This window comes from Homo sapiens, chromosome 21, assembly GCF_000001405.40.
Source record: "Homo sapiens chromosome 21, GRCh38.p14 Primary Assembly".
NCBI lineage: Eukaryota > Metazoa > Chordata > Mammalia > Primates > Hominidae > Homo > Homo sapiens.
The window spans coordinates 26,103,865-26,128,858 of NC_000021.9; the positions used below are offsets into that span (position 1 = coordinate 26,103,865).

General features: G+C 38.7%; 1 protein-coding gene and 1 long non-coding RNA gene across 12 annotated transcripts in view, besides 1 other annotated feature; both read right to left on the reverse strand.

Moving 5' to 3' along the window:
- Positions 1 to 24,994, reverse strand: part of APP (amyloid beta precursor protein) — a 290,579-nt gene that overhangs the window by 223,315 nt on the left and 42,270 nt on the right. For 9 of the 11 annotated variants that reach the window (NM_001136131.3, NM_001204303.2, NM_201414.3 and 6 more), the window contains exon 2: positions 8,115 to 8,282. The exons of the other annotated variants lie outside the window; for them this stretch is intronic. In NM_001136131.3, coding sequence (NP_001129603.1) covers positions 8,115 to 8,234 — 120 coding nt within the window. In that variant the 5' untranslated portion in view covers positions 8,235 to 8,282. The remainder of the gene's footprint in view (positions 1 to 8,114; positions 8,283 to 24,994) is intronic. 11 annotated transcript variants of the gene reach the window in all.
- Positions 3,558 to 4,204: an enhancer, noted in NCBI's record as "NANOG-H3K27ac hESC enhancer chr21:27479739-27480384 (GRCh37/hg19 assembly coordinates)". NCBI's record gives its function as "activates a minimal SCP1, AML or CMV promoter by ChIP-STARR-seq in naive and primed H9 embryonic stem cells {active_cell/tissue: H9 hESC(naive and primed)}" and the evidence as "EXISTENCE:reporter gene assay evidence [ECO:0000049][PMID:30033119]".
- The window catches only part of LOC124900466 (uncharacterized), a 34,434-nt gene continuing 28,281 nt past the window's right edge, over positions 18,842 to 24,994 (reverse strand). Inside the window, exon 2 of the long non-coding RNA XR_007067829.1 lies at positions 18,842 to 19,118. This is a non-coding gene — a long non-coding RNA (uncharacterized LOC124900466). The remainder of the gene's footprint in view (positions 19,119 to 24,994) is intronic.

A 24,994-nucleotide genomic window follows, 5' to 3' on the forward strand; every position in this document is an offset into this window, starting at 1 on the left:
TTTGGGTCTGTAGGGCTTTTGCCTACAGAAGCCACAGTAGGTCTTTGTCTTAGCTCAAAATGCTGCCTTACTGTGAATGGCTTAAACAACAAAAATGTCTTTTGTCACAGCTCTGGAAGCTGGAAGTCCAAAACCAAGGTGCCAGCATGACCGAGTTCTGGTGAGGCCGCTCTTCCTTGCTTGCAGACAGCCACCTCCTTGCTGTGTCCTTATGTGACTTCTTCGTTTGAGCAGGGAGAAAAAGGCAAGCTCTTTGGTATCTTTTCTTATAAGGGCACTAGTTCCATCACGGGGGCACATACTCATGACCTCATCTAACAGTTATCACCTCCCAAAGGTATCATCTCCGAATACCATCTCCGAATAGCCTGGGGTTAGGGTTTCAATATCTAAATTTTGGGGGAACACAAACATTCATCCCATAACAGTCCTCAATACATACTTGAAAAAAAAGGGGGGAAAAATCTCAAATGGTGCTAACACAAAATATTTTTTAAATGCATTGAAAGGCAGGTATTTGACCAATGACTAGGCAGAAGCAAAACTATTACGATTGGGAAAGAGGAAAGAATACATAAGCACAAAGAATTTGGAAGACTTGGGATTAAACAAAGACTCAATTTAAACCATAAGATCCAAGTTATCTTCTCAATCAAACTTTACAAGGGTTTATAACCAAGAGCAAAAATAAAAGACTGTGTTTTTACTTTTTCTCTTGAACCTTGCCCTTGACCAAAACCTGGATCAAAGAATCAAGGGCAAAAAAAACACTATGAATGATAACAACAAAACAACCCAGTAACACAAAATACAAATTCAGAGAAGCATGAGACTATGAAAGGAGCAGAGTAGATAATTCACAGTCAAAGTTATGTATTTATCATCATGTTAAGCTATGCACCAACATGTATACTGCAAAGCAATCCTTTGGAAAAACAAATTAAACAATGAGTTAAACTTGTGAGCAAAAAGTCAAAACGACGTGACGGTGATGAGTTCTGTTGGTTTTGTTCTATCCTAGGACCAGACTGTTAACAGCCACCTCAGACTTAGCCAGCTAGTTATCTCTAAAATATTTTGGTCATGAGAGACACAAAGTGAGAACGCAAAGTAAAAAATTCATCCACCACTATTGGGAGAAAAAAAAAATCATTAAATGAGTAGCTCTGTCAATGGTAACTAATGGTTTCCACGCATTTTTTTCAAAAAAAAAAAAAAAAAAAAAGAAGAAGAATTTGCCCAATGACAGATACCAGAATACCGTGAATTTTCATGGTGCTGAATCAAACACCCATCAACCAGGAATTCTATACCTAATGAAGCAATTGTTCAATAATAAGAAAAACATTGTTCAACAATAAGAATGATTAAGATGAAAGTCATCCAACAAAACGGAATCAAAATATTAATGTAATACAGGGTTTGAGATGATCTGATGAAAAGACTAGCTGTAAACAATGAGTCCAGTTAAAGACAGACCCTATGAATGAGAAGTATGGCAACAGAGGAGATGGTAAGATTATAACTTTGAAAATATAAAAATAATACAACTTATAAAACCTGTGAGAAGGAAACGTGGTAACATTGTGAGAGTATTCTTTTCCTTGCCGTTCCTAGCAATGAATCCATCAATACGGTTTAAAAAATAAAAACATGAAGTTAAAAAAAAAAGGCAAAACGAACACTTTCCAACACACGCATGAAAATCCAAGCCTACAAATGAGAACTATTCATTATTTCTAATTATAAAAGAAAAACACCAGAATAGCTACAATGTGGAAAGTGGCAGGAAGATCCTGAAATATCTATAAAGAATGTTCTAGAGAATTCAAGATGCACAATTTGAAAGAAAATGTCAACACTGTCTAAAACTTCTGAGTGAACTTGTCTCCCCTGCCACCTGCTCAATACTCCCCAAAAAGCCACTTAAAATCCTAATGCATGATGCACTCCCTCACCTCGCCCTGTCCAGCCTACAAGCCTTTTCTAATCCATACCCACTGTGTTGCAGCACTGGGGTCATTCTTCTATTTTGCCCATGCCATTCCTCATCCCTCTTCTGGCAACAGCTCCTCTCCCCACATCACACGGCCACACCCACAAGGCCAAGATGGGCTAGTCCTGATACTGAGTCCCTGCAGATACGGTGGTGGCTCCAAGGGCAGACGTGTAACTCAAAGCAGTGCCAACCAGAAGCACTCCCTGATAATGCCCATGGGCAGAACAAAGTTGGGATGCCAAACCAGGACTAACACTACCAGAGGTCGTGGCTACCAACATCCCTGGTCTCCTTGAGGACACCCATCTTAGCAGGAGAAAAGGAGTAAACACACAGCAGGAAGGTAAGCAGAAACAAAAGAGACCCTAATGGGGAAATTCTAGGCAGTACTGACCCTCGGTTCCAGCACCTAGGGATCTCATTTCTGTGTACATTTTTAAGAAATTGGGTAAGCATCCCCCACACTACGATCCTTCCCATCAGTGGGAGAAAATATTCTCCATATATAAAATACAAATTGTTTAGGGGGTTTTTATCACCTGGCAAAAGAAACTGCCTAATTAACCCACCCTATCTCCCCATTCTTCCTCAGAAAAGGAGATGTTCCCTCCCCTTTCCAAGACCCAGGCAATCACATATCCACTGGATCTCCTTTCTGCCTAGTTCTTACAGAACTGAATACCATAGTCATAGCTTACTGTAACCTTGTACTCTTGGGCCCAAGCGATCCTCTCACTCAAAGCGCTGCGACTACAGGTCTGAGCCACGGAGCTCGGCCAAAACCTAGTTCTTAAGAGATACCTGCAACTAGTGCTTAGGATGGGTATCAGTCCTTCCCACAGTTTAGTTTAAGCTTCCTTAGGCCCAAATTCCTTCCATTTAAAAATCAAAATCACAAAGCCTTTCCTTTTGTCTTCAATGACCTCAAAGCTTTTTGCCTCTAGGTCTTTCCTCCAGGAGTCCACAGCTGACTCACCATTGACCCACGTTGTTTTTCCTGCAATGGACTACAACGTAACTTCTCCCCATGCTATTCCACAGGGTCAACAATGACCTTCTATTTGCCAGATCCTAACAATGTTTTGTCACACACACATACAAATGTCCAAAAACAAGATATGAGCAAAAGAGATTGCTGGGTGTCCTAGCATTGAAATGCAGGTGTTGTCTTGCAGACCCTGAGGGTGGCGGGGAAAGGATTATCTGATTCTACAGCATGTTCCTCCAGTTGACTTGCTACTAAATAAGCTATTTTACGACTTACACCCTTAAAATTCTTACACCCTTATTACTTACATCCTTACAAGCTATTCCACACCCTTAGAGCTTTGTAAAGATGGATACTGCAGACACCCCATAGCAATGCAAGTGTTCCTGTACCATGGAAATAATTTGACGATATTCCAGATAATTCCAGATGATTCCTGTTCATAGCCATGCAACTCAAGTGTGCTGGGGAAGGAATTTTAAATCTCTCCAAGTCAAAATGAACCATTTTTCACATCTTACAGTTCATCTCATTAATGAATTGAATAAAATATTTGACATGTGTTCAGTCTGCATGACAGACATGATTTTACCATGTCAAAAACTACACTTCAACTGCTTTCCGTTTGCATCATGCTTGCACTCTTATCTTTCCCCTCATTTAGAAATTTACATGGCTTGCCTTCCAGCATGTAACGCCTCCTACTTCCTATCCTATCTCTCTGGCCACTGCTCATCTCCCTCATGGGGAATCGTCTCTCTTTGTTTGCCTTCAATGCTGCAATTCCCCAAGGTGCTTTCCTTCGGTTCTTCTCCACAGGTGTCACTGAGTGGGTAAAATGAGTGCAAGTACTTAGCATAGTAGCTGACCCTTTGTGACCCTTTGTGAATGCTCAATGCTGATGGTATTAGTGTCACTGTCACCATGTAGTTTTTAGATTGCTAAAATTATGATTTTACAAGCTTTTCTCCCCCTTTGAAGAACAGGCCCTGTGTTCTGTTCATCAATGCACCCTTAGTATCCAAAGACATTATGTCTGAGGAGGAAGAGAGCACCACAGGGTTCTAGAAAGGCATATAATCATCTTACATCCAAATGTATTTAATGAAAGATGTATTTAAAAGGACCCCAAACAAGCCTTGTTCCCTGACTTGCAACATGCAGTGAAGTTCTGGTTGAAGGTATGGAGGGACTCATTTCTACCTCCCTCTCCCACTTGCCAGATCATGGGATCTAAGACCCTTACAGCTCAGAGTCACTGGTGGCTCGGGATAGCACAGAGAACAGCACTGTTCCACGGAAACAGAATGCAACTGCCTATGGAACCTCAATTTCCTCACTGCCACGTGAAACGTCAAAAGAAACAAGTGAAATCAATTTTAATCACATAGTTACAACTCAGTAACATTTATGATGTATTTAACAACATATTCAAAACATAACTATTTCAATGTTAAACCTATATAAAAATGAATGTGATCATTTTACAGGTTTTCTCACATTATATCTTTGAGATACGGTATCTATCTTACACTTATAGCACACATCAGTTTCCACTAGCCACATTTCAAGTGCCAAACAACCACATAGGGCCAGTGGCTACAGTACTGGACAGCACACGGCTAGAGGCTGCAGCATGGCAGTCTCTGGGAGAACGAAGATATATGGTAGGGGACATAGTGATAAAGCAAGAAGGTGATTTGTTTAAATGCAAATCTACAATCACTCCTCTTCTCTGAAAAAATAAAGTCTAGGCCGGGTGCGGGTGGCTCACGCCTGTAATCCCAGCACTCTGGGAGGCCGAAGAGGGTGGATCGCAAGGTCAGGAGTTCGAGACCAGCCTGGCCAACATGGTGAAACCCTGTCTCTACTAAAAATAAAAAAAATCCCGGCGTGGTGGCAGGCGCCTATAATCCCAGCTACTCGGGAGGCTGAGGCAGGAGAATCATTTGAACCCAGGAGGCAGAGGTTGCAGTGAGCTGAGATTGTGCCACTGCACTGCAGCCTGGGCCACAAGAGCAAGACTCTGTCTCAAAAACAAAAGAAAAAAAAAGAAAAAAATAAATAGATAAAAAATAAAGTCTAGTGACTTCCTGTTGCTACAAAATAAAGCCCAAATCCATTAAAATGGCTCACAAGGTATGATGTTTTGGCCCTTTCTTACTTATGGCGCCTAATGTTGAAGAATCTGGCTGGTGTGTATCATCCAACAAGACTTCCGTGGGTGGGTGGTAGGCAGAGGACAGATAATACCAGAATTGCAAGAGGAAGGTGACAGCAAAGGGCTAATTCTCCCCACTCATGGTGGCCACCAACAATCTGGTAAAGTCCAGAACTGGGAAGAACCACTCTGTGCTCAACCCTTTGATACAGTTTGGCTCTGTGTCCCTACCCAAATCTCATGTCGAATTGTAATTCCCAGTGTTGGAAGTGGGGTCTGGTGGGAAGGGATTGGATCATGGGGGTGGTTTCAATGTTTAAGCACCATCCCTCGAGTGCTGTCCCGTGACAGTGTTCTCATGAGATCCGGGTGTTTGAAAGTGTGTAGCACCTCTCCCTTCACACTCTTTCTCTTTCTTGCTCTGGCCATGTGAACATGTGTCTTCTTCCCCTTCACCTCCTGCCATGATTCTAAGTTTCCTGAGGCCTCCCCAGCCATGCTTCCCATACAGCCTTTGGAACCGTGAACCACTTAAACCTCTTTTCTTTATAAATTACCCAGTCTCAGGTAGTTTATTACAGCAATGTGAGAACAGACTAATACACCCTGGGACAAACAACAGGCTAAGACAGAAAGTAAAGCTACCCAGGCATTAGTAGGATCTCTAAGTGAAACGGGAAAAGAGGGGTGTTCCTGGGGTCAAGAAGAGTAATTTTTGGTATGGCCACCATACAAATGTGAAAACATCTGGTTATTCATACGTGAAACTAAGGGAAGAAAAACTTAGATGCAAACTATGACACATGTATCAAAATAGTCGATTCACCAGAAAAGGACAATTTGGTCAATGTCATAAACTAAATTTTAATTCTAGCCTTTAAAAAAAGTTTATTTGACACTCAGAATACATAGTCTGTATGCATATATCAAAAAAATGGTATCAAAAACATATAAGTATGCACAGAGTTCTGATTTATAAAATTTATAACTTATCTACACAATTGTACTACAAGAACTCTTCAGCAGAATGTAAATATTATTTCTAACATTGACACTTTATAAAAGTCACACCCAGGCAAAAGCTGATTTATTATCAATCCATACTTAGTAAATCAGCACACAGAATGTTCTTGTAAAAATACATATAATGGACCATACGTGGTAGCTCACGGCTATAATCCCAGCACTTTGGGAGGCTGACATGGGTGGATCACAATGTCAGTAGTTCAAGACCAGCCTGGCCAATATGGTGAAACCCTGTCTCTACTAAAAATACAAAAAAATTTAGCTGGGCGTGGTGGCGGGTGCCTATAGTCCCATCTACTCAGGAGGCTGAGGCAGGAGAATCATTTATACCCGGGAGGTGGAGGTTGCAGTAAGCTGAGATTGCACCACTGCACTCCATCCTGGGCGACAGAGCAAGATGTCATCTCAAAAAAAAACAAAACAAAACAAAAAATACATATAATGAACTTAAGTATTAGTGATTTCCACTATTCATCATTTCACATCATGGTTCATACTCCTTTCAAGATAAAAATTACTTAATATGTAATATATTGTGATAATGTAGATGCTTTTTGCTTCTCAAAACACCAATTAGTAATTAGAGCTTGTCCTTTCTTAAACAGAGCGCTATCAAAACAAATTAAACCTTTTAATAATAATAATTTTAGTATTTACAATTTAAAATAAAAGGATCTCAATAGAATAGTAATATTAATTAAACAACAAACATTCATTATCCAAGTAGGCTAAAGAAAAATTTCTAGTACAAAAAGGATTACAACAAAAGAAAATGTTGCCAGGCTATCTGCTGTTTATAATGAGTGTCGAGAATTCTGCTTTGCCAACAAGCATAAGACTAATTACTTCTAATGTTCTTAAGATGCAGTCACATGCAGAGATAACTATCTAAGAAGTGTGAGATAAAATGCCTGGAACTCCAGCTATTTTAAATTGAATAAGAAAGGAGCACCCTGTATAGTAACAGCAAAAAGACTACAAAGAATTAAACAAAAATGAAGATCTCCACGAAATGACAAAGGATGATTTCCAGGATACAAAGTTAAGTTAAAAAAAAAAAAAAAAAAAAAAGCAAAGTGCAGAACAGTGAACTTTGTACTTTTTTTGTACAAGAAGGAAAAATATGTATTTTCTTTTGCCAAAAAAATAAATCAGGAACAATGAAAATGTTTATCAATAGAGAATGAGTGAAAAGTGAGCTTTCTGAGTATATTTCATAGAACTAACATGATAGTCAAAAAGTAAAATTAATAAGGGAGGAAAAAACCAAACTATAATAGAATACAAACAGATACAAATGAACTAAAATATGTATCAAGCTGGTAACAGAAAAAAATTAATGCTAGCACTTTTAACCAAAAGACCTTGACTGTAGAGCCGTGGTGAGATATATACTGAAGATGAAAGGAGTGTGGAGGGCTGAGCATGGTGGCTCATACCCGTAATCTCAGCACTTTGGGAGGTCCAGCCAGAGGATCGCTTGAGCCCAGGAGTTTCAGACAGCCTGGCCAACACAAGGAGACCCCATCTCTACTAAAAATTAAAAAAAATCAGTCAGGCCTGGTGGCATGTGCCTATAGTCCAGCTACTTGGGAGGCTGAGGTGGGAGGATTGCTTGAGCCCAGTAGGTCAAGGCTACAGTAAGCCATAATCTTGCCACTGCACTCCAACCTGGGTGACAGAGTGAGGAAAAAAAAAAGTGCTGTGACATCTTAAACTACTGTTTAGTGATGGTCATAATACGACATCATAATTTTAAAAACATTTATATGTATATCATAGGGTAATGCAAATAAATATATTAATGGTATGGTGAATCATTAGGAACCAAGATTTTTACTGTAGGGTTAAAATACTGATGCAAAATACAAGAAGTTAAATTTTTTGAAAACAAATGCATGTGATCCAACGTGAATTGCTAGCCACCGGACAGGACTTACTTCTTGGCAATACTGCAGGATGCCTTCCTTGGTATCAATGCAGGTTTTGGTCCCTGATGGATCTGAATCCCACTTCCCATTCTGGACATTCATGTGCATGTTCAGTCTGCCACAGAACATGGCAATCTGGGGTTCAGCCAGCAGGCCAGCATTACCATCAGTGGGTACCTGAAAGAAGAAGCTTCAGTTAGTTATAGTATCCATAGCTCCAAGGCAGAGGCTTGGAGGAAGAACAGGGATAACTATCAAAAAGAGTTCTATTCTTGCTCATTCTCAATTAGGAATCAGCCCGGTCTTCAACACTCCTTTAGATTAAGTGTTATGTATGCTACAGATGTTCTTAGCCACCTATAAGGCAATGCTTTCTTTTATACTAAAACAGAGAAGGAAATTACCAATACCGAAAGGAATTTATTCATGAAAAATTTACACGTTTTCCCATATGAGATTTTGTGGTACCTGCTGAAAGGTTCTGACAACAAAATTACACGTTTTCCTATAATAAATATAATCACTGTGGAGGCTACCGCATTCTTATAATAAACTCCACTGACTCACACAGAGCATGATGCCTGCCAGGCCCTGCCTGATGACCAAGACTGAAAATAATATTTGTGCCACCTCTCAGCACTGAGAGCAAGTATGGCGTTGGTAGTTAGCAAGTGACTGTATTATGATTTTGAACAGAAAAATTCACTGTAGAATTCACCATCCACAAATATAACTGAGTATGTTGGCGATCCCTCCTGGTTTCCCCCAGAATATTCTCTGGTTATCAGTCTCAACTCTTAACAAGTCTGTTAAGAGTGCTGGTGTCTCCTCTCCCAACCATCTGCAAGGAGCCAACATTTTCTCATTTGGAGCTCTACATAGTGCCTGCTGGGTAGTAAGTAAGGGGTCCTAGCTATTACCATTGCAGGCAATAGACCACTTCACAAAATAACTTCATGAAAAAGGGTGCCTTCTGTATTTTCAAACTCTTCTGTGTACAGGCATTACCTTTACAAAAATATTTTTAAAAGAGAAAATGGAAGTCCTGAAATATCTATACCGTGTCACTTAACAGGTTCTGGTATCTCAAAAAGAAAAAAAAATTCAGCAAGAAATGAAAAATATATCCACAGGAGTAAAGGTGTTATTAAACCAATCAATTAGAAGGCATATTAATCATGATAGGCCCTCCCTTGTCAAATCCAGCTGCTGGGGAAATGTGAGACACCCATGCCAAGAAGAATTAACTTCCAGCAGAAGCCATTCGTTCACACACTCAAGAACTGGGTGATTCCACGATAACTTGTATCATTCCTAAAAACTGTCCACAGGAGGAAAAACACCAACTAAAATTGCACTGAGAAATTTTCAGTTAAAGAAATGAAACAGTTTCCAAACATTTCTTCCCACATAAATGTAAAATAAGATACCTCTGGCCATTTTAGTCATTTTTACACATACTTCGTCAAAACCCAACAGAGGACTTAGGTCCTTACAACAAAAAAACAAAACAGGTCTTAGATTGAACCAAGTCATGAGTGCAAAAGCTGCTGGCAAAATCTCTAGAGCCATGTTTTCAAGTAACTTTTCCAATATTTAACGAAATTCTGCCTTTACATTGCCAGATGGTTAAGTCAAAGCAGCCGATGCCAAAATATCCAGATCATCTGCAGAAATAGCTAGAACCCCTCAACTCCATCTGAGCCCCTTGCCACTTCCTGTGACTTCCATGAAACTGGGGGGTCTCATTCTCTGACAGATGCAAAGCAGCAGGCTAAGTAGAATGCTCTATAAATTTAAATTTCACAGCTTTCCTGAGGGATTAAGAGGAAATTCATTGTCTTGATCTTAGAAATCGAAATGCAAATGTTGTCAATCTTACTGAAATAAGTAGTATAGATAATAACACTGCAAAAACATTAAAGAAAGTCAAATAATAATCAGATACCTGTGGATAAGGCCCTACATCAGATGCTATGGAGGGCCCTGCCCGTAAGGAATGTACAATCCACTAATGGAATCGCCATTGTTCCCACAGTACTTTATTCTGTTCACCTTCCGAATTCATTCCTGTCCCAAAGATTTCCAGTCTTGGCAGCATGTTGTTAACTGTACGGAGACACTAATGAGCCTTTACCATAGCTGGTAAATATTCTGTTGAAACAGTCTCCTCCTCTGCCTCAAACTCTCTCTGTACTTTTGTTTATCCACAATCTGTTCATTACAATGTCTAAGGAAAGCGTTCTACCTTCTTGTCAATACAAATGCACTTGATTCCATTTCCTCCCCGCAAGGAGAGGAAATTGACAATTTCTCTCCCCAGGGTAGCCAGCCTCCAAGAAGGCCCCCAATAGTCCCTGCCTCCTGCTATTCATGGACCCTGGGAAACTCCACAATGTATCAGGGTCTGTCTGTGCAACAAATGGAGTACAGCAGAAGTGATGATGGTGTAACTTCCGAGCATGTATATATTAGACTTAAAGATGCTGCAACTCTTTTAAAAACAAACCCTTTGCTACCAGAAAGGTCACTGAAGGGCATGATGATGTGTAACATCCAAAACAAGGTCATGAAGGGCATCACAATTCTTCATTGCTCTCTGGGATCACTCACTGTGAGGGAGGTCATCAGCTGCCATGTTCTGAGACATTTGGTGCTAAAACCAGGAAAGTTTTTGGCAAAATACACTGGATCACCCTACCTGACAAACCAAGTAAATGCTTCATTTTTTTTTCCTCTTTTGACTTAACTTCCTTTGATTTCTTCTATTTTTCACTTTGTCATCCTCCCTGCTTCTTGACTTTACAGCTATTTTAATGTCATCTGTTGGCATATGTGTGTATGCTGACTATCAAAAAGTGGTAATTTTTTAAACATTTTTTTCAAATAAATTTATTATGACCCTATAATTGTCTCATGTTCTTGCCATTTTTTAATGCCATCTGTTGGCATATGTGTGTATGTTGACTACCAAAAAGTGGTAATTTTTAAAACATTTTTTTCAAATAACTTGATTACGGCGCTATAACTGTCTCATGTTGTCTTCATTTTAACAATGAGAGTTTAGACTAGAAAATATATGCTTCAGTTCCTGTCAGGTTTTCCACCAGATGAGATTTAATATTAACTTTAAAAATAAATGTTTGGAGAATCGTGATGATTAACATGCTCTATTTTCTTCAAGTGGAGATCATTTAATAATTTAAACTGCGAATCCTCAATAATAGGGTAAGCTGTTGAATTAGAAATTGTAAAATTGGTTGTGTGTATAGATCTTCTTACATTTGACATTACAAGAGGCCCTTCACAAATAAATATCAACTCACAAAAGCCATGTTTCTCAAGTAAAATTTTTTCCCCCCGAACCAACACCAGATGTGTATATGGAAATCAGAGCAATTAGCTTGGAGATACAAATTGAACCAGAAACCTTCCTATTCTTACTGAAGCCCATCTGCAAACAATTCCATGCTTTCACTACATATGCCTGTCTCCCTGAATTAAAACAAGACAAACAACTCACGGCATCCTCACCTGCATCAAATAACCCATTTATGAAACAAAGCCTGGTTGCTAAGCGCAGCCACTCCCTGGCATTCAGCCAGAAGGAAATGTGGCCACATTAAACATTGCCATCCAAGGGTTAACTCCCTTTTCCTGAGTGAAGCCTCCAAGAAATGACTTAATAAATGATACACAGGGTCCTATTCAGGATCTGTTAATATGGACACTCTTAAAATTGAAATCTTTTAAGATTCAATTTACCTGCCAAATACCTGAAATCTGGCAGGTATTTGCTGCCAGTAAAAAAGCACAGTCTTACAAAGTCATCCTAAAGATAATTATTCCTAATTTTTTAAACATTTTTATTTTCTAAAAGAAAAGAAATATAAATACCTTAGTAGATGGGAAATATAACCACTTAACTACTACATTTTAGTTCTATTTATGTCTTAACACTATTCTAAGGTGAGTTAAGATTACTTTGCAAAAATCTAAGACAACATTTAAAAGATGAGAACTGTGATATAACTGGCCGTTTGTGGTCTATGCTTTTCTAAGACTGAATATGAAGGTAATTCTTGTAAACTGAATGACTTGCCACTGACATCATAAAACTGGAGATGCTTTCCCATGGGAAAACAGTGTTCCTGACAATGAACAAAATAACCAGCTAAAAACAATGAAGCATTCATAAATTGCCTCAAAAGCAAGAGGCTGTTTACCAAGTGCTCTGAACTACAGAGACGTACATATCAAACTTAAAAATGCTACAAGTCTTAAAAACAGAAAGAAAATATTTTTGTTACCAGAAAAAAAATATTTTTGAGCCACAATATAAAGAATACTGAAGTGAAATGGACTTTCCAAAGCAATTTTTAGAAATGGCTTTAAAAGAGGCTTAAGGGGATAACATAAACGAATATAAACATATATACCTAATCTGGACCAGTCTGCAGATGTGAATCTGGAAACCCTACGCCTACAGTTGCTACAATTTTCAATTAAATGCAAAGCCACCTTCTTGAACAAGTTCTCTTGTTGTCCTTTCAAACAGGGTGTTCCCTTTCTCCAAAAAGTTTCTCTCTGTTATCATCTAGGAGATCAAAATTCCTTATAGAGCAGGCTTGGCAGCATTCCTCCCCAACAGGGTCTCAACTAGGAGGGAAAAGTGAACAAGGAGCTCTCTGTTTTGCTAGCTGAGAGGTCCTGTTTGGCAAGGAGAGGGCACAGATCCATAGCTTAGTTGCATCCGTGGATTTATGTAATTTTAAGGTTTCTGGCTAATGAAAGCCATCTGTTTTCTGCATTTGAACCACCCGCTGACTAGTCTAAATAGCTGGCCTCATATAATGAAGTATTTGGTACTTTTTAATCAGTTCAAACTTCTTCGAGTCAGATTCTTGCATAATCTCAGTATTTTTTTTTGGATACACTGTCACACTCCACCACCCAGACTAGAGTGCAGTGGCATGATCTCGGCTCACTGCAACCTCTCCGCCTCCTAGGTTCAAGCTATTCTCCTGCCTCAGCCTCCCAAGTAGCTGGGACTACAGGCCTGTGCCACCACGCCCAGATAATTTTTGTATTTTTAGTAGAGACAGGGTTTCACCATGTTGGCCAGGCTGGTCTCGAACTCCTGGCCTCAAGTGATCCTCCTGCCTCGGCCTCCCAAAATGTTGGGATTACAGGCATGAGCCACTGTGCCCAGCTTTGTAGCGATACTATTTCTATCACATCCATGGTTTCCTGACATAAATACTGGATTCCCTTAACCTGGGCATAATTCAACTATACCCCACAAGAGTGCTTTACATTTTCATATTAAAACATTTAAATTCTCCATTGTCAAATGTAAAGAACTATTTTCTAGAATCATAATCTAGAAAATCTGAGTGAACCCCTTTCAGGGGAATAATTCATCTGTAGGGTTTTCTTTTAAATGCCAAAAAAGTATTTCCAGTGTAAGCGGAACATCTGCAGTTGCTCATTTCATCACTAACAGAGAACTGAAATTAAAATCAGAATCACAAAAGTGGACCATAAGAGGGAGGAAAGGGCACCAGGTAAGGATATGTCCAAGGCCATGGGGTTATAGGGACAGAGAAGGGAATTCAACCTATTCCGTCAAGGGTTCTGTTAATGTGACCGGGCTGTCTCTCAAATTAAAATGGAAAATTGCAATTTTCCAAGGCTTTGCCCCTGTGTGTGTGTGTGCATGTATTTGTGGTGAGCAAAAATAGAGAAGCTATTAAAAAAGAAAAATAAAATGTGATGACTGAAACTGCAAGTGGTTTCTATTTACCCTTGTGGAGAGTTGCCACATCTATTCACAGCCACTATTTGCTACACAATTATTTCAGAGCTTGAGTTTCGGCTTAAAAAATGATTTGCCATGAAAGCGAATAGGAGAAAAACAATTCCTTTCAGAGGAGTAATCTACATATTTCACTCCTGGAAACCTGAAATTCTTTTTGGGTCACTGTTGATCTGGCTTCTAATTACAAGCTATCCTCCCTTGATGTTTTTCACGGCCTCTGTTGATATTAGATTGGTGCAAAAATCGCAATTACTTTTGTGCCAACCTAATACCAAGCTTTTTTACTACTCAAAGGATAGATGTTCTCAAGTTGACCCAAAACTCCTACCCACTCATAAGAAGGCCAGTAAGTCATGCTTGCTGCTGGTGCCCAGTAGGAAATCAAGAGGTCCCTCAATAGGAGTCTTTGTTATTCACTACTCGTGAAATTAATAACCAACATTTGAAGCATGCATTTAGGCAGGACCCAGTAAGAGTGGCATCTACTGCTAGGACTGATATAAATGAATATAAAAGTGGAATTACAAAAAATAGAGCCTTATGCATGGCAAACAAACTCTTAGCCTCAAAAACAGTTTACAATCTAGTCAATGTCCATTTAGTCTTAAAAGGTGAATGTTTTCTTTTAACTTCATATATATACATACACACACACTAACATATATGAAACCATACACATACTATATAGTATGTGATGAAATGAGCGAGATGTAAAAAGTTCATCTCTTTCATTCTGTCTTTACAGTTTTTCTGTGTGTCTTTTGTTTTGTTTCGTTTTCTGAGACAGAGTCTTGCTCAGTCGCCCAGGCTGGAGTGCAGCGGGGTGATCTCGGCTCACCGCAACCTCTGCCTCCTGGGTTCAAGCGATTCTTGTGCTTTAACCTCCTGAGTAGCTGGGACTACAGGCGTGCACCACTACGCCTGGCTAATTTTTGTATTTTTTAGTAGAGACGGGTTTTTGCCATGTTGCCACTCCTGACCTCAAGTGATCTGCCCGCCTCGGCCTCCCAAAGTGCTGGGATTATACGCATGAGCCACAACGCCTGGCCTGTCTTTAAAGTTTTACTGACATGTCTCATACAGTCACCAAAGGGAAAAAAAAATGAAAAAAAAATATATATATAGTATTTGAGATCTTTATCCTATTCTGACTCTCTCAATATTGCCATATCTCATCAGCCTTGACCTTGTGAACATGCAGATAGAAAAAGGGTTAGAGGCAAAAATCAAAGACCTACTAAGGCCTTTGCTCATTATCTCATTTGACTCAGAAAAACCAAGATAAGTCACTTCCACATCTATTTAGATAATCAGAAGGGCTCAAAACCCGCCTAGAGTCTACTCAAGAGTGTTATTCCAAAGCACATGCTTGCTTTTTGACAGAACAAGCCAGCTGGCATTCCTGGTACTAGATGTCAAGCTTTTTTAATTCTTCAATCTTGAATATTATTTTCAAGTAATTTTTCCCCCATGGCAGTACTATTTTGCATGTCTTTGTTACTGGCTTTTAAAAAAATTACTTTTAGAGCAAGTAAAACGGGAAGCAAACCCACAGCTTAAATGTCTAATTTGCATTTCTCAAATTTAAATCACTAGATGTTAATATCTACTAACCTCTGGTAGTTTCCTCTTTAAGAAATCTCTCCTGAAATGCAAACACAAATTTCTCCAAAGTTAGTTCTTTCCTTAAATCTAATGCAGCCAACTGAATCTGCAAAGTAGAAGTCCAAATCTCCCAATGTTCCAACTACTAATGTTTATCAACCCTTACTTTATTTAATGTGTATTTTCTAGTTTTTCAACAGTTGACATATACCTACCTATGTACATATACACATGTATATATACCTGCTATACAGCTACTTGTATGGTATGTAGTGGGAGTGCTAGAATGAACACACACACACACACACACATATACACACAGTTTAAGAGCTCAATTTGCACAAATCTCAAATGCTGGTACTTTGCTAAGATCTCATTCTAGAATTAGTGCATTTAAGTCCATGTTGCTAACAAGGTGGAGGACTTGGTAACTGGGCTCCTCAGAGAGAGTGGTTTGAATGGCATTCACTGAAATAAATTTGATAGTAACAAATAAATGATTTTCCAGTATGGCTTCTACTTGTTCTGACAGCTAGGACAGATTAGCACCCAGCACAGAATACAACAAAGAAAAATCAAAATCTATTATTCCTCTTCATTTTTGGTACAAGAGATATTCTACATATATTCAATTTCTAAATTTCTACTGTTTTATATCAAATGTAGCCAAGCTAAGCCGGGATCAGCTGACCCTTGAGCTTGTGGGCTATAATAAATGGTTATTGTTCTAAGCCACTAAATTTTGGAGTGAGTTTGTGGCTTTGCAGCATTTTTGTGGCAAAAGAAATTAACACAGTCATGTATTTGATAGGAATAACTAAAATACTAAGTGATAGAATCAAGGCATAGATTGTTTCAGAAGGTAGAAACTTTCTCAAGTTGCCTTTTTTTAGGCAGCTGGGAGTACAGGCCCATACCACCATACCTGGCTAATTTTTCTGTAGAGACAAGGTCTCAGTATGTTGCCGAGGCTGGTCTCAACTTCCTGGCCTCAAGTGTTCCTCCTGCCTTGGTCTCCTAAAGTGCTGGGATTACAGAACTGGTCACCATGCCTGGCCATAAATATTTTATATTTAATGTATTATGTAAGGTAGGATCAGTTATGGCTTATGATCTATACACTTTGGGTTGTCCTAGAATTGGAAAGAATCTGAGCAGAGGCAAATAGAATGATACTGTAAACACATGTACTGAAGCTTTTAAGGAGATGGTAATCAATCTTTGCAATCTTTAGATCTGATTGATTTTGTGAGCTTCTTTTCTCCTACATTTTTTAGACCTCTGCAAATGATAAACAATTTGTACAAAGGCATAGTTTTTAAAAAAAATTAAACATATTTTGTTTACACAATATATTTCTAAAAGGAAATATTTCAAATCTGAAAGCAATCTAATGCTATTAAATAGACCCCGTTCCTGCTCATACCTCACATGTGGCTATGTGAATACAAAAATCTTATAATTATACTTCTCCCAGCAAAGGACATGCAAATTTCATCACCAAACATTCATGCTACTGCAATCACACTCCATCAAGCCATATGTGTTGAAATCTGTGTAACAAAAGCAGTGAGGGCTCTTGCCACACGTAGGCTCCCGCCCAGCCCTCTCCGGGAGGTAGGTATGTATGCAGAGAAGAGAGTGGGCTGAGAAATGGAATTCTGGCATGTTGGGTCAAGCAGACTGATCATGTGACACTCGCACTGAGATCCTACCAAATTTCACCATGTGGCAGAGTCAGCACCAAACAAATCCCAAAGTTAAAGCCTCAGTTATCACCTGGGTTTTGCTGCATAGACCTAGCCAAATATGTGTAAGAGTTATGAGCTCTAGACATAATTTATTTTATTGCCCTGAAATAGAGTATCCCCACATAATTTGCAAGTTTAATTGCAATTATATTCCTGGGGGTCACTCCTCATACCTGCACAGTTAGGATATTGCCAGGTTATTCATGGTACCTCACACAACACCTGGCAGTTATACACAGATCCTCATCTTTTTTTTTTGGAGACGGAGTCTCACTCTGTCGCCCAGGCTGGAGTGCAGTAGCGTGATCTCAGCTCACTGCAACCTCCACTTCCCTGGTTCAAGCGATTCTCCTGCCTCAGCCTCCTGAGTAGCTGGGATTACAGGCGCGCGTCACCACACCCGGCTAATTTTTGTATTTTTAGTAGAGATGGGGTTTCATCATGTTGGTCAGGCTGATCTCGAACTCCTGACCTCGTGAGCCACCGCGCCTGGCCTTACAGATCCTCATCTTTTATGCAATATCATATTCATCACTAAATAACGACACAGCATAAAAATGAACTTTTACTTTATCAGTGGTACTTTACAGCACTACAGTGAGTTTTCTAGAGTTTAAGGCTTACGCTAATATGCTTAATGCACAAGTAAGTGCAAACTTAACAGGTTTCTTTCTGGTTCTTTTATTTTTCCCCTCTATTTCTTCTCATTGACCCACTGCAATGTTGACCCACTCGGAACGTAGAGCATGGGCAAAAAAAAGAACCAAGAGACCATTAGAGAAGAGAATAAGTCTTTGAAAAGCTGCAGGTGGGAATATAATGGAAAACAAGATTCCAGAAGAGGTAGTGGGTCTACCATTTAACTAGAACATGCCCAGTAGAGCCATACTGATAAATCTGCATCTTAGAGTTGCTGATATACTTGGACAAGGGGAAAAAGAAGCATATTCCTCTATCCTTTGTCAGCCCAGAAATTTATCCCAACCCTATTTTCCTATACAGTTTCTACCAGCTTTCAGGCGTCAGGCCATTGTAAAACCAACATAGGTGGAGAGGGCAATTCAGGCTAGGATGGGGAGAGGTAGTTAGCGGGATTTCCAGTTCTGGGCTATAGTGAGGGAGTCAGTATACACTGCTGAGTCTGGTACATACATTCCACATTGTCCATACCCTTTAATATCTTTACAATTTCTAATACCAAAGTGGTATGAAAATACTAATGAAGTTAAAGACCCTTACCAAAATGCTAATTTTCCAGGTTAAGTTATCATATTGTCTTCAATGTGCATTAAAATCTCAGAGCAGCTATCGGGGGATAAGGAGAGTGAGTACCCACTAAGCTTGGAGGCCAGCTAAACTCTCTAGAAAGTCATTTCCATCTGACTTCCCACCAGCATGAGGCAGAGCAGTTCAGAGCATTTTTCAAGTGAGTCGGCCTGCCGTTACCAATGCCAAATTTAAAGCACTTATATGTTTTATCACAAGCCCATGAGCTTGTGATTTCATAAAATGGTACTAACTGGTCCTTGCCATGAGTAAATTCAAGTAACACGTATGAAGAAGATTTTAATAAAATTTTTTATTAGAAGATTTTAATAAAATTTTTTTATTAAAAGATTTTAATAAAATTTTTTATTTTATTAAAAGATTTCTTAAAGGTCATTAACGCAAGTCATATTAGAAGAGATCACAGGCAAGTAGACAAAAAGAATTTACTCCGTGAAAGCTCACTGAAACAGGAATTCGGATATTTGACATTTACTTTTGTTCTTGTCTCTCATATGTACACATCAAAGCACACACATTCACATGGATGTAAAGATAGTAAGAGGCCACCTGCAATCAGAACAAGTGAGATTATAAATAAGTATATTATATAAGAATCCAAGACAAGAATTCCTTACTTTTAAGGAAAGGGCATCAGAGATTTATGATCTTAGACCTTTACCTTTCTATTTTTAGCAGATTTACAGAAATATTGCAGGAACAGAACATGAAGTCACTTATTTTTGATAAGCACAAAGGATATTTACATTATATCGTCTGGTTTATTTCCTTTCAAAGTGTCATAACATTTACTCATCAGCCTTTACTGTGTGCTTATAACTCTCATACTGTTGTGGTTTTATTACTAGGATTTTTGGTCTAGGAGAAAGCTGCTTTACAAACATAATAGAAATTCAGTGAGAATATTAACTTGACATAAAAACCCAAGATAATTTTCAAACAGCATTCTTGTTCATTGTTCAAATTGTATTCTGTTAACTTATTTAGTTTAAGCCAAGATTACTTCTTTTCCTGCAGACTTGGAACACTAAAGAATACTCCAGGTTTAAATTCCAGGTTATTTGCTTGATAAGCCTGGGTAGATTGTCCTTCTTAAATAACTTACACCAAAGCACTATCAAAGAAGCTCTCCCTTTGTAGAGCCCTCAGATTCACAGAAGGAATTTTTCGAATTGCCATTTCTATAGGAATAAAGGCTATCAGGAACCACAATACTAGGAGAAAATAATTCTGAAGGGGAGGTAGCAGTGAAGACTCTTATTTCTATTTTCTTGACTATATTTATAAAAAATTGTTGCCGAAAGAACAGAAGACCAAGAGCCAAAAATCACACTGCAGTCTTACTCTTGGATGTAATGTTACTATCAGTTTCAGTGACACAACATCAGAGGCAATCTGATATTGACAATGGTAAAAATATGCAGACGCCAATATTAGGAGGGTGCAGTTAGTTGACAGTAGAGCCTATAAGTATTCATCTAAGTTTTCTCTGTTTGAAGAGAAGAAAAGAGAACATCAAACATTTCTAGTATATAGAGCAAGGATTCCTAATCTTTTTTTTTTTTTAATGTGCAAACAAGACAAAAGTTACTTCACTGTCTAGGGGTTATTCCCTACTCTTTAGCACTGGCCTGACTCTCTCACTCCCACATATAAGCATTCAATAAATACTTATGCCAACAATTAAGAAACACCTGGCATGAAAAATAATAACAGTAATAAACTAGAAGGTAGAAAATGTAATTATTGACAAAGGTGTGGAACAATACAAAATAAATTCCACTTTAGATACCTGTGAAATTTTTTATTGTGGCACCAGGAGAGTAATTTCCTAACAGAGAAAAGAAAACATAGCATCCACACCTCTGTCTTTACCAATTCCTAAATACCAGCTACAGTTCAACTTGTCCACGGACTTCAGGCTCCTCCTAGAAAACAAGAAGGCTTAAAAAGCAAGACAACCTATTAGCTATGTTGCTCAATAAATTTCAATGTTAATTTCCTAATTCTTTGATAACACATTCCTGAACTCCTTTGTAATTCAGGCAACATTTTAAAAATCAGATGATCTAACTGGACTCCAAGAATTACATAAACAGTGTGAGCAGTGAGACTTCGAATGTGCAATCAACTATTTTTTTAATCCTGCTGCTAAAAGCCTTCAGTAGCACAGAACTGGTTGTCAGAGATTTCAGTGTAACCTAACACCTAACGTGAATGACTGCTGTACAAAAATACAGCTGAAAATACTATGAGGAAGAGATAGAAACGGATTGTTGATGGCTAAGCAAAACAGCAAATGCTGATGGTTATCAAACACATGCCGTTCCCACTCTACACAGATAAGATTTCAAAGCTGTTTGAGTCCTAGGTTAAGTTTTGGGCAAGTTCTGGCTTGATGCCTTATATTCAGATAAACATTTTCCAGGCAGTGAACATATTCAAAGTTGGGGACAGTGGGGTAACCCGAAAACATTCCTGACCTTGATGGACAGATAATCCAATGGTGGAGACACAAATAAGGCCAAATTGGCTAACCAAAGGTGCTGGAGTGTTAATGCAGAGGTCTGGCAAGGGTACACCGAAGAGCTCTCAGGAAAGAGTGACTGGTTTGACTTGGAGAAGGAGAAGGAAGGCAGACCAAAGATCAGAGCAGAAAACATGCCCAGGCTGAGTATGGGTCGGACAGGAAGCATGAAAGGTAGCACAAGGCTAGCGTCCAAATGACCTTGAATTTGTAATAAACGTGTGAAGTCACTGGGAGCTGCTGCCACATTCCAAAGCAAGCAAGAGCAGCATCCCACCAGTGTATGAGGAGGATGCGGGGGCCCCAGGACAACTTTCGTGGGCCTCTTTCTCTCTTAAAAAAACATTAAAAGCTATATTTTAGGGCTCTGTTGATTGGTATAAAGACAACTCTAAGTCAGGCTGGATTCATTATTGTATATTCATGATTATTATCTTGTTCTTTATTTTTCCTTCTGATTTTAAAAGAAATTAAACATTTTTGAGGGCTCCTAAAGGTACTGCACAGCCAAGACTACGGTCTGACTGGAAGCACCAGGAGTAACAGGAGGCAGTAAACAGGAGTGGAGGTAGGGAAGATTCTAAGGCTTGTAAATTTCAAGGATGAGCACATTCGGTGCGGTGTTTAGGGGGTGAGTCTAGAGTGCTTTCATGGCCAAGGTCAACAGGCATTATTAGAGTGCACCAGGCTACAGAATGTGAGTTTGTCCTGACGGGGGTGGGGGAGAAAAAGAAGGAAAACAATCACTACCTCCCTGATTTATTAGCAAACATCCCATTCTGTCTAGCCCCACATCACATCAGGAGTTCTAAGAGTCAATCTGGCAGAGCAATTCATCTACGTTTCATTGCCTTGAGTGATGGGAACTTATTTTAATTTTCAAAACTAGCATATGTTTAACAGACTTGTGCAGAGCTGCCTATGTGACCTGGGGAAAAAATTATCTGGACTCTCACCATGCAGATTATCAGCTTGAATTGCTAATGCATTCCTTACCCCCGACGGATGTCTTTTTGACATGTCTACAGAGGAATAAGCCCTAAAACACAGAAATAACAAACTGTACAATCTATATCTCGCCCTTGGGCAGGAGGGGTATTGCACTGTGTGGGAAAGATTTACATTCTACCAAAAAATCTAAGCAAAGAGTATTTACATAAGCACAAAAATTTTTTCACAAACTTGTTCAAATAAACTAAGAGAAGAACACAACTGTGATCGCAAAACAGATAACATCACATAGATTCTGGCTTCTGACTTTACTGCTGTTGTTCATAGCATGTAATTCTAGATAATAAGAATTTTAGGTAATTAGAATAGAAGTGCCTCTTCAGATGTGCTAAAATGTTACGTGCATGGCTGTTTCTAAAGAGGGAATAATGTTGGTGTACACCTAACGCTAACCAACTGTGCCCTAATGAAGGTAAATCCCCAAATATCCATAACACTCACTTTGTTTTCTGTGTACGGCCAATCTCCAGTCAAGAGCTCCTTTACCCTGACACTAGTCTCACCCATGTTGTTCAGCTATGCAGTGGTTCTCCAACAGGGTAAGCTTGTTAACTACATGGGTCCTAGGCCACTTTGCTTTTTGAGCCCTATGAACTGTTTCTAGGTAGAGGTTCAAAGTTCTTGGCAAAGATGATTGTCACGACTTGGGTGGTGCTACTGGCATCTATCTAGTAGGTAGAAGCTAGGGATGTTACTAAACATCCTACAATGTACAGGCAGCCTCCGCTGTAGGCCCTCCCCCACCCAACATAAACAATTATTTGGCTCAAAATGTCAGTAATTCCCAGGTTGAAAACTCCAACCTAAGCCTTTACTTAGGGGGAAAGAGTCATGTCTTACTGTTCTCTGTATTTCTATTTGTTCACAGAACAAAATTAGCATTCAAATATTGGTTGAACCAAACAGAGTTTCCACTCAAAACATAATTAATCCAACTGACATCATATAAAACAATAACTATGTAAACTGTAAATCCTACAAAATACAGCCTCCCTTCCACAGAAGCAAAAAAAAAAAACGTTAATTTTTAAAAGGTAGTTGGTGTATCAAAAGTTATTAACATTAAGCAAGATAACCCCTTCAACTCAAGATTACAGAAGATTGCCCCATAATTATTTCATATAAAATGATCAAAAATAATTTTATTGTATTAACTCCCTGTGGGTCAATTTATAATAGTAATCTTTTAATTAAGAAATCTTGAGGGTTAATTATCCAGCTTTCATTTAAAAAAAAAAAATGAGGTGGTAACTATTTCTGGGCAAAGTTCACCAGGAAGCAAGACAATGCACTCATAACTAGGGTTCCAAGACCAAGCAAGCCAGTCAGAATCTCTCTGTAGGTAAAGACTTTCAAATTCTAGCCAATCATTTCATAATGAACAACTTAGACAAACGGAGAAAAGGCTTAAAAACTGGAATCTCTTTGAATAATGTATTAACTCTACTGGAATAACAAATATATACTAATAGGTTACATAAATCAAAAGCCCTATGAAAATATATAACTAAAAAAATTATTGCTAGAAACCTCTCTATGTCTTGTATCTGCAACTATGAACAGGGTCTAATCCATCACTGTCTATATCTCTAGAGACCTCAGGGGACTTACAGCTGGGTCAGGGTCACTGTAGGAACTGGCTGAAGGGACCCACACATGAAAGTACCAATATGATCTTTGGAATCAAAAGGCAAAAGTCAATTCTGTATTTAGTAATTACCAGCTGTTTGGAGAAAGCCAGTTAACTTTACCTCTTGATTTCCTTTATCTCTCAAATGGACATAGTAACATCCCACCTCACAGGATATTATGAGGATTAAAATGCAGTAATATACATAAAATGGAGAGTAAGCACTTTAAGAGCTAATCATATTGTCTCAACTTGTATCTAGCAGGAAGAGGGAAAAGAAAAGAAAACTAAAATGAGCACGTTCGTAAGACATCTGGGGAGCCTGAACTGATGAATACACAGCATTTGAAATCTCCTGCGAGCTATCCCTACAAAGATACCTGCTATTTATTCAGGAACCCTGAGAGAGGATTTCCTGCACTAAAGAAAATGCTGACTATATAACCACATATGACACACTGGTTTAAAGAATGTCTTATGCCATTTAAAATAGACAATCTTTCCTTGTTTATCTGCAAGACGTCTGCCTGCCAAGTTGTCTCTAAAAGAGACAAACTGGTAACGACACTGCAACACGTGTGTCGTCAACCCCAGCTACACGCTCAGTGTGGCAGATCTGACTCACCAAGTCTACATAGTATTTTTAAACTATCTAAGATATTTTAACTCATGCAGTTTAATGGCAATTTTAGCTCTTTTCAGAATGTCTGATATAAGGTTCATGAAGTCCACTCTGACAATTTACTATCCGTGAATCACAATGATTCTAAACAGAGCTAAGAAGCAAATTTCAAGATATTAAATTTTTTTGGTTCATTTCTTTAGCCACAGTATTAAATTTGTTTCTACACAGAACTTCTCTTGTGTAAGAAATTTGTTATTGCATGCTTATACCACTAAGTTATTAAATATATCACTAGTAATGTATACTCAAAATGGCCCAGTGAGGTTTAAGACATTCGTTTCGAAGTATGAATAAATGCCTCATTTCATATCTAATTCAGTGTTCTCAAAAACAGTTTTCAGAAAATGTCAACAGTTATTACCTGGGAGTGGGGAGAATTCTGTCATAAAACACATATGGGAAATGGATCATTCAAGATGGATACTGGAGGCTTTTGAAAAAAAAAACCGTAATAATGAAGTCAGTTTAACTTTTTTAAAACCAAGGTTTCCCAAAATGTATTTGACCGTGGGCCACTTCCATTGTGACACATTTAACATGCTTGGAACTGAATTTGAAAAATGTACTAAGAG